The sequence below is a fragment of the Homo sapiens genome, chromosome 3 (assembly GCF_000001405.40).
Source record: "Homo sapiens chromosome 3, GRCh38.p14 Primary Assembly".
Taxonomy (NCBI): Eukaryota; Metazoa; Chordata; class Mammalia; order Primates; family Hominidae; genus Homo; species Homo sapiens.
This window is the reverse complement of record NC_000003.12, coordinates 164,067,820-164,083,045: the sequence shown is the minus strand read 5'-3', so window position 1 is coordinate 164,083,045 and position 15,226 is coordinate 164,067,820. Positions and strand designations below refer to the sequence as shown.

The 15,226-nt window shown below is 34.5% G+C and overlaps 1 long non-coding RNA gene across 2 annotated transcripts in view; it reads left to right on the top strand.

The window, feature by feature from the left end:
- LOC102724419 (uncharacterized) overlaps window positions 1-15,226 on the top strand; it is a 169,359-nt gene that overhangs the window by 114,507 nt on the left and 39,626 nt on the right. The window contains exon 3 of one of the 2 annotated variants that reach the window (XR_001740997.2): window positions 8,441-8,658. This is a non-coding gene — a long non-coding RNA (uncharacterized LOC102724419). Of the gene's footprint in view, window positions 1-8,440; window positions 11,313-15,226 lie in introns of those variants that run through there. The other variant, XR_007096283.1, reaches the window with a different exon arrangement.

Below are 15,226 nucleotides of genomic sequence, written 5' to 3'. Positions count from 1 at the left end.
GAAATTCTAAGAAATAAGTATATTCTACATAAATATTGAGATTAACACTTACTATAACAGAAGTGATTCTAGAAAGAGACATAAACTGCCCTGTAGAGCTGTGGTTCTAGATATAGGACCCAAGACTAGAGTAGCATAAAACATATCCAAGTATATGTATTCTCTTACCTTTTCCTAGAAGTTTTTAATTTTTTGGTAGATATTTTGAGGTAGGGTTCTGAAATTTACAGTTATAAAGGAGGCTGGAGGTTGTAATAATGCACTAACAAATAAGGAAACTAATGTCTCAAACATTGTGTTTTGTATTTATTTTTCACTTCTCTAGAACAATACCTGATTTCAACTCAATCGATCACTGCTATATCCAGCAAGTTTCCAAAAAGTTAATTTTATAGGTTAACCTTAGTACCAGGTCAAGTGACATTAAGAATTGATATAATCTGTAAATAATGTATCTTCATACAAGCAATTATATAGATTGAACCAATGCTTATAAATCTATTTATAATATATTTTCTTTTTCTTGAAACATTTATATTTTCGTATGTTATATTTAAAATATATTTTGCATATGTTAAGCCATCCTTGAATCCTGGGATGAATCTCATTTAATCATGGTGAAAGATTTTTTTCACAAATTCTAAAATTTTCCTTTTGTGTTTCTCAAATCCTCCCATTTTACTTTCAATATAACTATTTTAACATTTTTATTAGCTATTCTATTTCTACTACTTTTTTAAAACCAAGTAAATAATTAGACAGCCACATAAAAATTCACTTTCTCTTCTACTTCCTTTTGGTTTTTACATCATTTATTTAAAATATTACAGAATGTCAGTCACCACACAAGGCAGAAAGGAGAAATTAAAAAAATAACATTTGAACATGGGTCCTTCACTTGAGAAGTCTCTAGTTTACCTGGATAAAAGGTGTGGAAATGCACAATTGCAGTGATGAAATGTGTTCTCCAGCCAAGGCATGGACAAGGCCATTGAGGAAACTTCTAAACTTCCTGATGCCATCATGGTGGCTTCCTGGAAGAGATGGCATTTGATGTGAAATATTACAGTGAAGGAGAAATTTTCTTCCTATGTATAGACTGATGATACACCAGAAGGAGCAAAATGAAGTATCATATGAAAAAGTAAAAAAGACAATAAGGCATGATGGTTTTCTGAAAATTGCAAATGTTAGGAAATAGCATGAAATAAGGAGCCTTATAAAGAAATGGAAGGGTAAGAGGCTAAAAAAGCAGATAGTCTTGGAGTATGAAAAGCTACTAAAAGAAAATCAGATTTTTCCCTCAAGTTTATAAGGAAATATTTAATGTGTTTAGTTAAGAGAGTCTTATGATTTTATTTTTGTTCATATAGGATATATAACATTTCACTAAATATAATAAAAACGTGAGATTCCATGTTTTCAGGCATTAATTTTTCTAAGACAAGACTAATCTAGTCAGCAATGTAGTGTTAGTCTTTTAATGAAAAACAGACTATGTTTTCATGAATAGTAGACTTAAATAATTTGCAACTTTTTTGATGTTTTTTGTCTGCCCTCTTTTCCCAATGACAATTTCTTGCCCATATTTTACAAGTTTCACACAAATGAGCTAGGTTGGCACAGCCTAAATGTGATAAGTATTATAAAAGACATTGGAAAATTGATAGGACAGAATTTAATAATAAAATATCTGATTTCAATTCCCATTACATATTCAGTAACCAGAGGGAAGTATTTTTAATACTCTATCATAGTGATGTTGATTATTTTTCAAATGTTTATTAAATTTTAGTGAAGTGTTTACATTCATTAAATCATATGTATATGTAATTATTAATTAACCTTAAATTTTTTAGCATGTTAGCTATTAGTTTAAGGGTAAAAATTACTTCCAAATTTATAATGTCAAAATAGAACTTAGTAGCACTAATCTATAACTAGTAATTAATGTAACTTGTTAGATCAAATTTAGCCTAAAGCTGATTTCTTACATATTTGATGTTTGGCCTAAAGGTTTCTCTGTACATCATGAACTATAACCTAAACAAAGTTGTATACAGACTGTAGCCTGCTCTTGTGCCAATTACCAAGTTTTGGCCAATCAAAGGTAGCCAGCTGTTCAAACCATGTTCAAATAAGGTAGACATCAAGCTGTAACCAATCCAGCTGTTTCTGTACCTCAGTTCCATTTTCTGTACATCATGGGAGGCTGCTCAATTCTCAAATTGTTCTTTGCTGAATTAAACTCTGTTAAATTTAAATTGCCTAAAGCTTTTCTTTTAACAGATGGCATCAGAAATAGGATCTGAAATAGAGCTTCTAATGAGCCCCAGAAGCGCTGAGTGACCAAGAGAGGTACCCATCAGGCCCATTGTGTCCATTTCTCTCTTGGAGCAGCAGAGGATTGTGGTAAATTCACTCTCGGATTCCGAAGCTCCGTGGATTTTCATTTTGAGCTTTCTGACTTTCTTTGAACAAATTTCTGATCCAAACTGGGTTTGGAAGTTGCAGGAGAAACTGAACTGGGTCCAGGGTCAGATTGGATCTGATAATTAACTGGCTTGAATCCAGTTTGAGGCCCTTTATATCTGACTGGGTCAGAAAGAACCTGATAGTAAATGGCAATATTGCTGAGGTTGTAAAATTTGGCTTTTGGATATTCGCAGAAATTTTTGTGTTCTACCTCTTTATTTTTCTCTTGTGTTTGGGTAGGGAATAAAACCATTGGCTAACTTGATCAATGAAACCTCAGAGCCAAAGCCAATATTTGAGGTAAAAATGGGATCCTTAATTTATGAAGGACTAAATACCATCCAGCATATGTATAAATATTAGGCCCCAAAGGCAGCAAAGTATTACAAAAATGGTGAAATCATACTAAAGATAAGTTACAGAGCAATGTTCCAAATGACCAACACTGCACTGAAGTGCATTTGAAAATAAGGGCTCCCAAATTAATCTCATCTAGGGAGGCCTATTTATATACAGAAGCTTCTAAAAAGATTTCAATATTTTTATGTAAAGACTTTGTAAAAGGCAAATGAAAAGCTTAAGCAAGTAATTGATGAGACTAATTAAACCTGCTAAACTTTTGGCTTAGTTACTATCCTGCCCCAAAGGCAGAAAGAAGGCTATCCTAGATAAGGTGTTTATAAAATGTAAAATAAATGTGCTCCTTTTTCGGATCTATCCATGCTGAGTCCAGGCATACAATGCTTTGTTGGTCCTATTCCTTAGTGGGCTCCACCCAGTAACCTGAACTCAGGTGATTTTAGCTTAAAAACACCCTATTAAACTAAAATAAATTTTTCTGTAATTTAATTGACTATTCCTTTTTTATTCTGAAATGTAATTGGAAATTCTTTTGTGAAATAAATACCCTTAAAAATTTGAGACTTCCTTTATAGATGTATGTCTGCCTATGTACATTAGAAAGTTTTATCATTCTTTTTAACTTACATAAGAAGTCATAACTCTTCTGGCCATCTTGCCTTAAGTGAACTTTTATTTCAGCAAGTTTTATTTCCTTGGTTTGAGAAAATGATGATACAATATTTAGGCCTAGAATCTTAGCTCTGTGCTTATAAAAAATAATTTGTTTTGTTCCACCTAAGGGTTGTATCTTTAGAAACGCAAATTTGTTGCCTAGTTAACAATTGCTTAGGGCAATGAAACTGGTAATTCGAAGAGTGATAGACCAAATGGGGAAAAGAAAATCTATTTAAAAGCCAGTAAATAAAAATATTTTATAAGACCATAAGGTCTGCTTCTGTGTATTTTATGTCTATAGTGTCTTATGTATGTGATATTTGGTAAATAAAATTAGTTTTTATTGTTCTTTTTTTATTGAGGGATATTTTATTTTATTTTAACTTTTAAGTTCAGGGATACAGCACAGGTTTCTTACATAGGTAAACTTGTGTCATGGGGGTTTCATGTGCAGATTATCTCATTATATAGGTATTAAGCCTAGTACCCATTAGGTATTTTTCCTGATTCTCTCCATCCTCCCACTGTCTACCATCTGAAGGTCCCATTGTTTATTTTTTCCCTCTATGTTTCCATGTGTTCTCATCATTTAGCTTCCATTTGTAAGTGAGAACATGCAGTATTTGGTTTTCTGTTCCTGAGTTAGTTTGCTAAGGATAATGGCCTCCACCTCTATCCATATCCCTGCAAAGGATATGATCTTGTTCTTTTTTATGGCTGCATAATATTCCACAGTGTATACATACCACATTTTCTTTATCCAGTCTATTGTTGATGGGCATTTTTTAGGTTGATTCCATGTCGTGCTATTGTGAATAGTGTTGTGTTGAACGTATTTATGCAAGTGTCTTTATAATAGATCAATTTATATTCCTTTGGGTATGTACCCAGTAATGGGATTGCTGGATCAACCTCTAGTTCTGTCTTTAGGTCTTTGAGGAATCACCGTACTATCTCCCACAATGGCTGAACTCATTTACACTCCCACCAACAGTGTATAAAAGTTCCTTATTCTCCACAATCTCACCAGAATCTGTTATTTTTTTCACTTTTTAATAATAGTCATTCTGACTGATATAATAAGGTATCTCATAGTGGTTTGGGTTTGCATTGCTCTAATGATTAGTGATGTTGAGCTTTTCTTCATATGCTCCTTGGCTGCATGTATGTCTTCTTTTGAAAAGTGTCTGTCTGTTCATGTCCTTTGCCTACTTTTGTACATTTTTTTTCTTGTAAATTTGTTTAAGTTCCTTATAAATTCTGGTTATTAGACCTTTGTCAGAAGCATAGTTTCAAATATTTTCTCCCATTCTGTAGGTTGTCTATTTACTCTGTTGATAGTTTCTTTTGCTGTGCAGAAGCCCTTTAGTTTAATTAGATTCCACTTGGCAATTTTTCCTTTCCTTGCAATAGTTTTTGGCATCTTTGTCATGAGGTATATGCCTGTGCCTGTGTCCTGAATGGTATTGTTTAGGTTGTCTTCCAGGGTTTTTATAGGTTTAGGTTTTACATTTAAGTTTTAATTCATCTTAAGTTAATTTTTATATATAGTGTAAGGAAAGGGTCCAGTTTCAATCTTTTGCATATGGCTAGCCAGTTATCCCAGCACTATTTATTGAACAGGGAATCTTTTTCTCATTACTTGTTGTTAGATTTGTCAAAGATCAGATAGTTGTAGTAGATGTGTGGTCTTATTTCTGGGTTCTCTAATCTGTTCCATTGGTCTGTGTGTCTGTTTTTGAATCAGTACCATGCTGTTTTAGTTATTATATACCTGTAGTATAGTTTGAAGTTGGGTGGCATGATGTCTCCAGTTTTTTCTTTTTGCTTAGAATTGCACTGGCTATTTTGGCTCTTTTTAAAGCTAGTTTTTAAAATGTTGGTATAATAGAAATGGTTTCTAAATTATCAGCCAAATATAATTTGATACTTGTTTTATTTGACTATAAGTTTTTGTCTTTGGTTTAGAGTCTCTGGATTCAGGGGTCTGGATAGGTGGCCATGATGAGGTCTGGAGACATGTTCTTAGTGCAAGCACCTGCAAGCCAGAATGGTCCTTTTTCCCTCTGCTTTCCCTGTTTCGTCTCCTGGCTGTTTTAGATCCTCCATGTGTAGTCTTCACAGCTTTGTCTTCTGTCCTAATGGACTTAGGCCTTTACATTCAAGTCATCCTGGGTGACATGTGGCTATCTGGGACCTAGAATTACTGGGAGGAAACATTAAGGAAGCTACCAGTGTCAAGGCTTCAAAATCGTTTTCTGTAATTTAAGATCTTAAAGTCATAGTCTGGGTGCAGTGGCTCACACCTGTAATCCCAGCACTTTGGGAGGCCAAGGTTGGCGGATTATCTGAGGACAGGAGTCTGAGACCAGCCGGCCAACATGGTGAAATCCCATCTCTACTAAAAATACAAAAATTAGCTGGGCATGGTGGCACACACTTGTAATCCTAGCTACTTGGGAGGCTGAGGCAGAAGTGCTTGAACTCAGGAGGCGGAGGTTTCAGTGAGCCGAGATCGTGCCACTGCACTCCAGCCTGGGCAACAGAGCAAGACTCCATCTCAAAAAATAAAAATAAAAATAAATAAATAAATAAAATCTTACGGTCATGTTATATTAAATTAAGTAATAGATAATCACTTAAATCTGAGTCATCTGTAAGTTAAGATACTGAAATATTAATTATTAAATATTAGTTTAGCTCTATATTCCTTGAAATTTATATTCATATGGAAAAGAAAAGCTAAATATATTTAGATCTGCTAATAAACAATAATTTGAAGAATTATTTTTCTAAAAGAATTATAAAATTGTTTTCATCTACAAACATAAATATAAAACAGTTAAAAATTACTTTCTAGTGTTCTCAATAGAAATTAGAGTTACTAAGAGTTTAAAACTATTAGATATAAGAAAAACAATTCTGTATACAGAGTATACAAACAAAAGCAAAATATATATTTGATTAGGAAAGTAATGAAGGCATAAAATGTGTTTTTCTGGTTTAAATTTACTTAAAGATTTCACACTGGAGTAAAAAACAGATAAAATAAGATGAATATAGGAAGTTGAGGAAAAATGTAAAGTGAAAGGTTTATAGAATTTTAGTGTGGTTAAAAATGACAAATTGAATAAAGTTATGAGGTTTTATTAACATTAGTTTTAATATTCATAATACACTAATACAAAGCAAAATTCAGTTTTCTATTTTGCACAAAAATTTTATGTAATATTAATAAGACACATCAAAATATTTTTATTCATCTTTTGAGCAAACTGCAAAAGAGAGGAAAGAAGAAGAGAGAGATTCTGTATCATCATGCTGTCTTATGGCTTTTGATTATTTGGAAAACTCTATGTCCATTATAGGTTTTTGTTTTTAAAAATCTTTTCATTATCACTCTTGTTAAATGAATGACTGTTGTTTTACAGTGATCTGTGATCCTTTTTTGTTCAAGTGTTTTAAACCTTTGACATAATTGACACAGTCTTTTCAAAATCAAATTTCAGCTTCAAAACTAATTATTTTTGACCTCTACATTTGGGATGCTGCAGAGGGCCCCTGAATCATCCAAAAGAGAGGTAAACAGGATGATTTGATGTGTTAAGTTAAATGGGAAGCATTGTCAAATAATAAATAATGTTTAATCTTCAGGTTATATTTTAATGAATGTTATTAAAATATGATCCAAAATTCTATGAGATTTTTAAAATGCTAATATGTCTGAGTATAGGCTATCAATCATAATTACGTGATTAAGTTATTGTAGACCACAAAAATAACCAAATTTTCTTGTCAATTGTGTCTTTGACTATTGAAAGTCAATCCCACAGTTAATTGCTTAATTCTGATGTTTCTGAAACCTTCATAAGCATGTTAAATCCTAAAATAGGCCAGGTGTGGTGGCTCACGCCTGTAATCCCAGCATTTTGGGAGGCTGAAGCAAGCGGATCAGGAGGTCAAGAGATTCAGACCATCTTGGTCAACATGGTGTAACCACATCTCTACTAAAAATACAAAACTTAGCTGGGTGTGGTGGCATGTGCCTGTAGTCCCAGCTACTTGGGAGGCTGAGGCAGGAGAATCATTTGAACCCAGGAGGTGGAGGTTGCAGTGAGCCGAGATCATGCCACTGCGCTCCATCCTGGTGACAAAGCAAGACTCCATCTCAAAAAAAAAAAAAAAAAAAAGAATACAATGTCTTTAAGGAGGTTCATGAAAGGATAAAAGGAACCCTGAAAAGCAACCTTGAATACAGGTATTTGATAACTTTAGCATCATATCATTTGGACTGGGTAAGAATTCCTGAAACTGTAATGAAAAGTCTGACTGGTTGATAAAACTGCTAACCCAAGCAGAAAAAAAAAAATTAATTGAATAACAAGAAAATACTTTCCCAGATTTTCATGGTAAATCAACCAATAATGAAATTGTTTAGATATACAATTTGAATGAACTCCGTGGTCTAAGTCAAATTACCTATGATAACCTATCAGTCATCAGTGTTACATACCTTAATTGGAGAAACAACTGGTATTCAAGAGGACATAAGTCCAATGTTAAGCATGAACTCATGAGAACCAGGATGACTGCCTTGTCTTTTCTGAGTCCTTAAAGCTTTTGTTATTAAAAGCTTTGAGCTATACACACACACACACACACACACACACACACACACATATGAAAAGCTTTATATATATATATGAATGGTGACTTCTAAATTGCTAAAGTACTTTATGACCAATGTTTGGTTTGTCAAACCCATATTCCCGAGAAGATAATTAAAACTTCAGGTACATTCCACTACCTGATGGACCATTTAAATATTTATAGAAGGATTTCATTCAGTCATTTTCAGTGCATATCTTCTGGTTGTATAAAAGCTTTTTCATGCAAGAGGGCTGATGTTTTAACAGTAGCTCATTATAACACAGTGTATTTTCACCAGGTAAAGAAAGCTTTTCAAGTTTTACTGACTGAAGACAATCAACCCTCTTCACAACTGAGAACCTGAAGATTGAATCTTCTGAGAACATCAGAGAAAGACTACCCTTGCCATCCATACTGCAGAAAAACTTCAGGACCTTGAACCTTGGGTTCATAATCTAACAACTCAGAAGTGTCTCTCCACACTCTTGGAACAGTACACCCATTGGAAACCTTAAGGTAAAGCTAACCAGGAAAGTTTTTCCACAGAACAAGGCATCCTTAATGTGAACAGCTTTTTCTCAAGATAAAGATCAAGATTTCTCCACTATCATAATACTCTTATCTTTCCGTTTTTACCCTTGCTTATGCCTCTATGAACAATAGGAATGAAAGGAGCTCTGTTGTGCAGACTTATAAGGTATACTTTTATTTGTAAAGATTCTTACAGCCAGCCTTATACATGGATAACTCTATGACTTAATAGATGGAAGATGAAGGCCTAATGGAGGTGAGATATTTTGTTGGTACGCACACTGTCTCATAATCAGTAAGAAATAGACATTTGTCTGTTAAAGAGACATGGGTTAAAGAGAACGTTTCCAGGAGGTCTTTACTCTTCTAAAAGGGAACCGTTTTTTAGGTCTTTTCTTTCTCATAGTTTGGAGTAAAGGAGACAATGATTAAAAATTTAGCCTCGTAATAGGCTCTGTAGCAGATTTTACTATAAAGGCTATGGGTGCACAACAGACTTTAAATTGTCTTGTGAAAGTTATTCTAAATAATAGAATTGCTCTAGATTACTTACTAGCTAAACAGAGAAGTATCTGTGCAGCTACTGGCACTAGTTTTCCATGGAAAAATACATCACATTAGGTATGATAGAGATTCATTCGTAGGGGATTAACAGTCTACTTAGTTAAAGCGAGCAGACTCTTTATCCAGCTCGTTCCTTGATCTATTTAATTTTAGGTGATTTGGTTTATGGGGACCCTGGCCAAGGAGCATAATTCAAACTCTTGATATTGTCCTCCTGATAGTCATAATAGTAGTCTCCCTGGTGCACCATGTTCTCTCAAGTTTTAAATGTTTGCATGCAACCACCTTTCAAATGTTAAATGGTATCTCTTTTTTTTTTTTTTATTGAAGTCAGTGAGACAAAGAACCCACCAATTCCGGACACACTAATTCCTTCTTTTAGCATAATGAAGGCAGATAATTTTCTATAATAAAGGGAGGGCTTTTCTGGGAATTGATTGGGCAATTCCCAGAATCAGTGCCATCCTTTTTTTCTTACTAAATATGTTTAATCTGAAACTGTTATGGCACCAGGTGTATGATGGGAATAGGAGGTTTCCCCATGGAAATATTATGGTAATGGGAGCATAATGCAGTCAAGGGTCAGCAGCTAGTCAAGTTTTCAGCCATCTTGGATTTAACCACTTGTGGATTTATCTACTAGCAGTTTTTTCTTTGTTAGGATATTCTTATTTGTGCCTAAACAAGATATCTATAATCTGTCTTCATTGTTATAACCTGTTGCAACAGTTCTTTGCTAGTAGGGGACATGTCTTTGTGATAATGTGTTTGGTCCTATTTGTATTGCTTTGAGCCACCTGCAAGTAATCATGTCCTGTTTCCTCGCTAAATGCCTGCCCTACTTTCACATATTTTGTTAAAGAAGGCAATGAAAATTCTTGCTTTTTTCTTTATTTGAGTTTTGAAAATAATAAATAATTACCTTAACATCCACCAGGAATAATTAATCAGATGTCTGTTTGCTTGATTGTCTATTGGAAGGGAACATACACACTTTGAATGTAGATAAATTGATTCCATTTATACAGTTGTAATTGCTGATATGCTTTTTTAAATGTCCCAAATAGAATTTAGCAATTTTACTTATGCATTATGAAATATCCATACCTCAAATTTATATTCTTGCAGGTAAAATTGGAATTACAATGAATATATATGGTAATTTTGGCCAAGAGATAATTGTGGGCCCTTCTTTCACCTTGGCAAAATGTGAGCCTAGAGTTTAGAATTGGAGACACCCAGGACAAGTACTGCGTACATGGTGGGTACAGGAAAACTTAGTTCTTAAAGATATTTAAAACTCTGATGTAGATAGGAATTTTAATTTAGGCCTACAAGAGCCCACACAGACAGAAAAAAGACTTTTTAGCTCAATCTAACTTTTAATATTTTACTATTGAATTTTATCACTTTATGTTTATAATCATAATAAATATTTAAATTCATGTCATCTTAAAATATGCCTTTCAATATTTTCAAGTTTTCTTCTTCCTTTGTTAACCTATTGGTATTTTCCCACATGCATGATTTTTTTTGTTTACATATATTTTGTGACATTTATAAAATAATACAATCTCTTGGAAAGCATGTTATTCTTTTTATCTTTCAAAATACCAAAGGCAGTTTTTTGCATTTAGTGTTTCTGTTATGATAGCTTTCAACATTTACATTTAATATAATATTTCCTATATGGTGAACTTATATTTTTTAAATTAATACTTTCAGAATAGATAATAAGCTTAATTGCTGATATTGTCTGCCTAGAAAGGAGTTTCCCAAGGCCTAGTGCACTGGCTCACACCTGTAATCCCAGCACTTTGGGAGTCCGAGGCATGTGGATCACGAGGTCAGGAGTTCAAGACCAGCCTGGCCAACATAGTGAAACCTCATCTCTACTAAAAATACAAAAATTAGCCGGGTGTGGTGGTGGGTGCCTATAGTCCCAGCTACTTGGGAGGCTGAGGCAGAGAATAGCTTTAACCTGGGAGGTAGAGGGTGCAGTGAGCAGAGATCGTGCCTCTGCACTGCAACCTGGGAGACAGAGCAAGACTCCATCTCAAAAAAAAAAAAAGAAAGGAGTTTCCCAAAATGTGTATACTATGTATATAAAGACTATTTCATTCATACCTTAGATAATTTTTTTTAGTTTTAAATAAATATAACAAGGCATAACAAACATATAACAAACATAAATATTTACCCAAAGGAAGAAAATTGCCAACTAATAAATTACTGTGATTCCTCATTTGCATTCTATAAATCAAAAGTAACCGGGATATTTAAACAAAACAATGAAAGCGAAAAGTTTGTACTGTGCAATATTGGCTTTAAATATAAAAACGAGGTCATTTTTAGATCTGTATCTATGGTTCTTTTTTTCTTCTGGTCTAATTGTATGCCTGATAATCTTCACTCTAGACATTTTGTATAAAAAATTGCATGTTGCCAGATTATGCTTTCTTTCTCCAGTGAGAGGTCATCTTATTTTTTAATAGGTGGCCTGTGTTGGGGGACATCATCTTAGTACAGTCAGAGACTGACCTGCCTTGAACTTGCCTTGTCAGTTTTGTAAGGATCAGTTTACTTCTGTTTCACTCCATGGCATTTCTGCATGTCTAATGACAGTTTTCTTCCAAACTGTATTTTTAAGTATGTTTGTGTAGAAAATAGTCCTGGAAGATAAAGTTAGTTTTTCTCGCCAGGCTAAAAATCAGTAGATGTTTTGTTTGCTTATTTGTTGTTTTTTTCTGCTCAGAATAATATTGGCACTATTTCACTTAAAGGCAAAAGTTAGGCAAGTTTGCCATTAAGTCCCTTAGAAGACTGGCAGCACTCTAAGCTTAATAATTCTCACTTGTGGCATAGACACACTGTTTCGTCTCCCTGCACCTGATTTTATATTGCTCCTATGTGACTTACAGGGAAATAGTAACCAAAGCTAATGCACTGTCTGCTGTGCTGTGAGTAATAAAGTTTTGTCTCTAATTCAGGAGTCTCATGTATTCTGGCAGCATCTGTGAAACTATAGCAGGCTTCCTTATCAGGTAAAATCTTAGTCCCTTCACATTTCTTGATATTCTTAAGATTAAGTCTCACTAGGTCCCAAGTGGAATTTGGCATAGTTAGTAGAGGCCTTCCTTTTTGACAGGTCCTGAACTCCATTTTTTTTCCTACTTTTATTTTAGATACAGGAAGTGCATGTGTAGATTTGTTACAAGGGAATACTGCATGATGCTGAGGTTTGGAATATGGATCCCACACTCACGTAGTGAGCATAGTAGCTAATGGAAGATTTCTTAACCCAGCCTCTCCCTCCACCATTTGGTAGTCCACAGCGTCTATTGTTTCCACATTTATGTTCGTATGTGCTCCATGTTTAGCTCCCCCTTATAAATGACAACATGCAAAGTATTTGGTTTTCTGTTCCTGCATCAAATTGTTTAGAATTATGGCCTCCAGCTTCATCCATGTTGCTGGAAAGGATGTGATTTTATTTGTTTTTTATGACCGTATAGTAACCCATGGTGTATATGTACAACATTTTCTTTATTACATTTACCTTTTATGGGCACCCGGGTTGATTTCATGTCTTTGCCACTGTGAATAGTGCAGCAACGAACATAGGAGAGCATATGTGTTTTGGTAGAATGATTTATTTTCTTTTGGCTATATACATAGGTATGGGATTGCTGGGTCAAATTGTAGCTCTGTTTTAAGGTCTTTGAGAAATCTCCAGTCTGCTTTTCACAGTGGCTAGACTAATTTTCATTCCAACCAACAGTGTATAAGTGCTGAACTCCAATTTTTATCTTCTCAGCAATGTGAGACTGCAAAAATTCTGGTGTGCTTTTTATTGACTTTTTGCTTTCGTTCTTAATGTCTGGCTCTCAGCACATTAAGAAATCAGCTAATGCTTTGAGGGGAAAAACTTGCTGAGACAGGTTCCTCACTTCTCTCTTTCTGGATCATGTCCCCTCCAGTGCTGTTACCTGAAAATGTCTAAAATCCATTTTTGACATCAGCACTATGATCTTTTCCTAAATTTTGTTGGCTTTTCCATATTTTAAGTGTGATATTATTTCAGAGTTTTCAGACATATACCTTACTCAAAATTAAGCACAATCCATGTGGGGACAGCTACTCAGAAAATTTTGATTCACATTTATATTTCCTTATTTCCTTTGCTCTAGGCTTTCAAGTCCTGGTTGCCTCAGTAGCTCTTAGGTGCCCTCAAAACATGCGCTTGGCCTACCTGCCTTCCTTCTTTTCTTCCCTTCCCCTCCCTCACTTGCTTCGTTCCTTCCTTCCTTCCTTCCCTCCTTCCCACCTTCCCTCCTTCCCTCCTGCCCTCTTTCCCTCCTTCTCTGCTTCCTTCCTTCCTTACCTCTTCTTTACTTCCCTCCTTTCTTCTCTCCCTCTATTTTTTTCTTCTTACTTTTCTAGTTCTTACCAGCAATAATGTTCTGCCACAAGCTATTCTACTGTAGCCAGTGATATAGCATTTACTTTATATGTTATGTATATTTTAATAAAAATATAATATTAAATTAGCTTTTGTAGCATTTTAGTAAAAGTATCTCTCGAAAGCTAGTTTTCTCTCTTTCAATAGTATAGGCAGTGTTTAAAATCAACAACAGACTGTTTCCATTTCATATATCTTTTGCTAAACATGTGAAGCAATGTTTTGTAGACTATAGAATTGCACAAATATGAAATTTTATAAAATTTTACTCTACAAAAAACCCCATTTCTAATAACAATTCGATCTTGCCAATTCACCTCAACCAAGTATTTTAACTATTAGATTCAGATCTATGACTAGATAGGGGCTTAGTTAAATTCAGCATTTTCTTGTTCATTGTTCTTATGTTCTTTCAACATTGACAGGTATTGTGGCATATATGTATTGTGAACACGATACATTATGCCGCAGGTATTGTGGCAGATATGTATAGTGAGTAGTGATCACTATCTCTCTCCTTTTAACATAAACAATCCATGGTGTTAAATATGAAGAATTAAGTAATCTATTCCTATTGACTCAGCTTCCAACCTCAGCTATTGCTGCCACTACTGGTCTCTGAGTCCCATACTTACCATTGATCAGCTCCCACTTTGCCCATCTATTTCACATTCTCAAGTCTACAGCTTCTTCACGTTTTGCTACTAACACTCCCTGACAAGCATCTAACTCTCAACTCTGAGTAGTATTTTATGCTTCATTTGGATATGTTTTTTTTATATTCTCCCTACCCTGTAGAAGCAGAAAGAATATTTGAAGGCGTAAGATGAGTTTGGGTATCTAATTCTCTGTCTTCATTATAATATTGTGGTAATGATATTTGGTATGGGTAACTGGAAATTGCCTCTTGCCAGAAACTCAAATCAATAATATGAAATAAACCTCCTCTCACATTTCCAGAATTATCTAGGGGTTTGTATTAATTCTCTTTGGTTTGTTTCCTAAGAGGACGATAGGCAGCAGGGACTTACACTTGCTCTCATTTCCCAGTCATATTAAATCACAAAATACCTTCTTGGTTGGCCACTGTAGGATGAAACAAATGTTTATGCCATTATATTATCTTTTTTTAACCTTATATACTATGATATAAGGTTATGTGTCAGTGCACTCAAGCTTTGATCAGAATACACTGGGCCAAGTTTTAAAATTCTGAAGTGAATCTTCTCTTTCATAGTGTTGTGCTATGCAAACAAAAATGCTTTTGATTTAAATCTGTAGTCTGTCATGAGTTTTAAAAATAATCTCAACATTTAATTAACTTCTTTTTGAGGAACTGTACTTTCCCTCTCTCTAAGCAATAAATGGTAGTCTCACTTGATAGTCAACTGTGATGCAACAAAATTTATGTTCCATGAGGGGGCTCAGAAGATACACCATTCAGGAAGTCCACCAGAATTGTGTTGGTGAGATGGGTGATAGTGTTGCTAGGAAGATTGGCGGTTTTCCTCCACCGGTCCTGCCTGA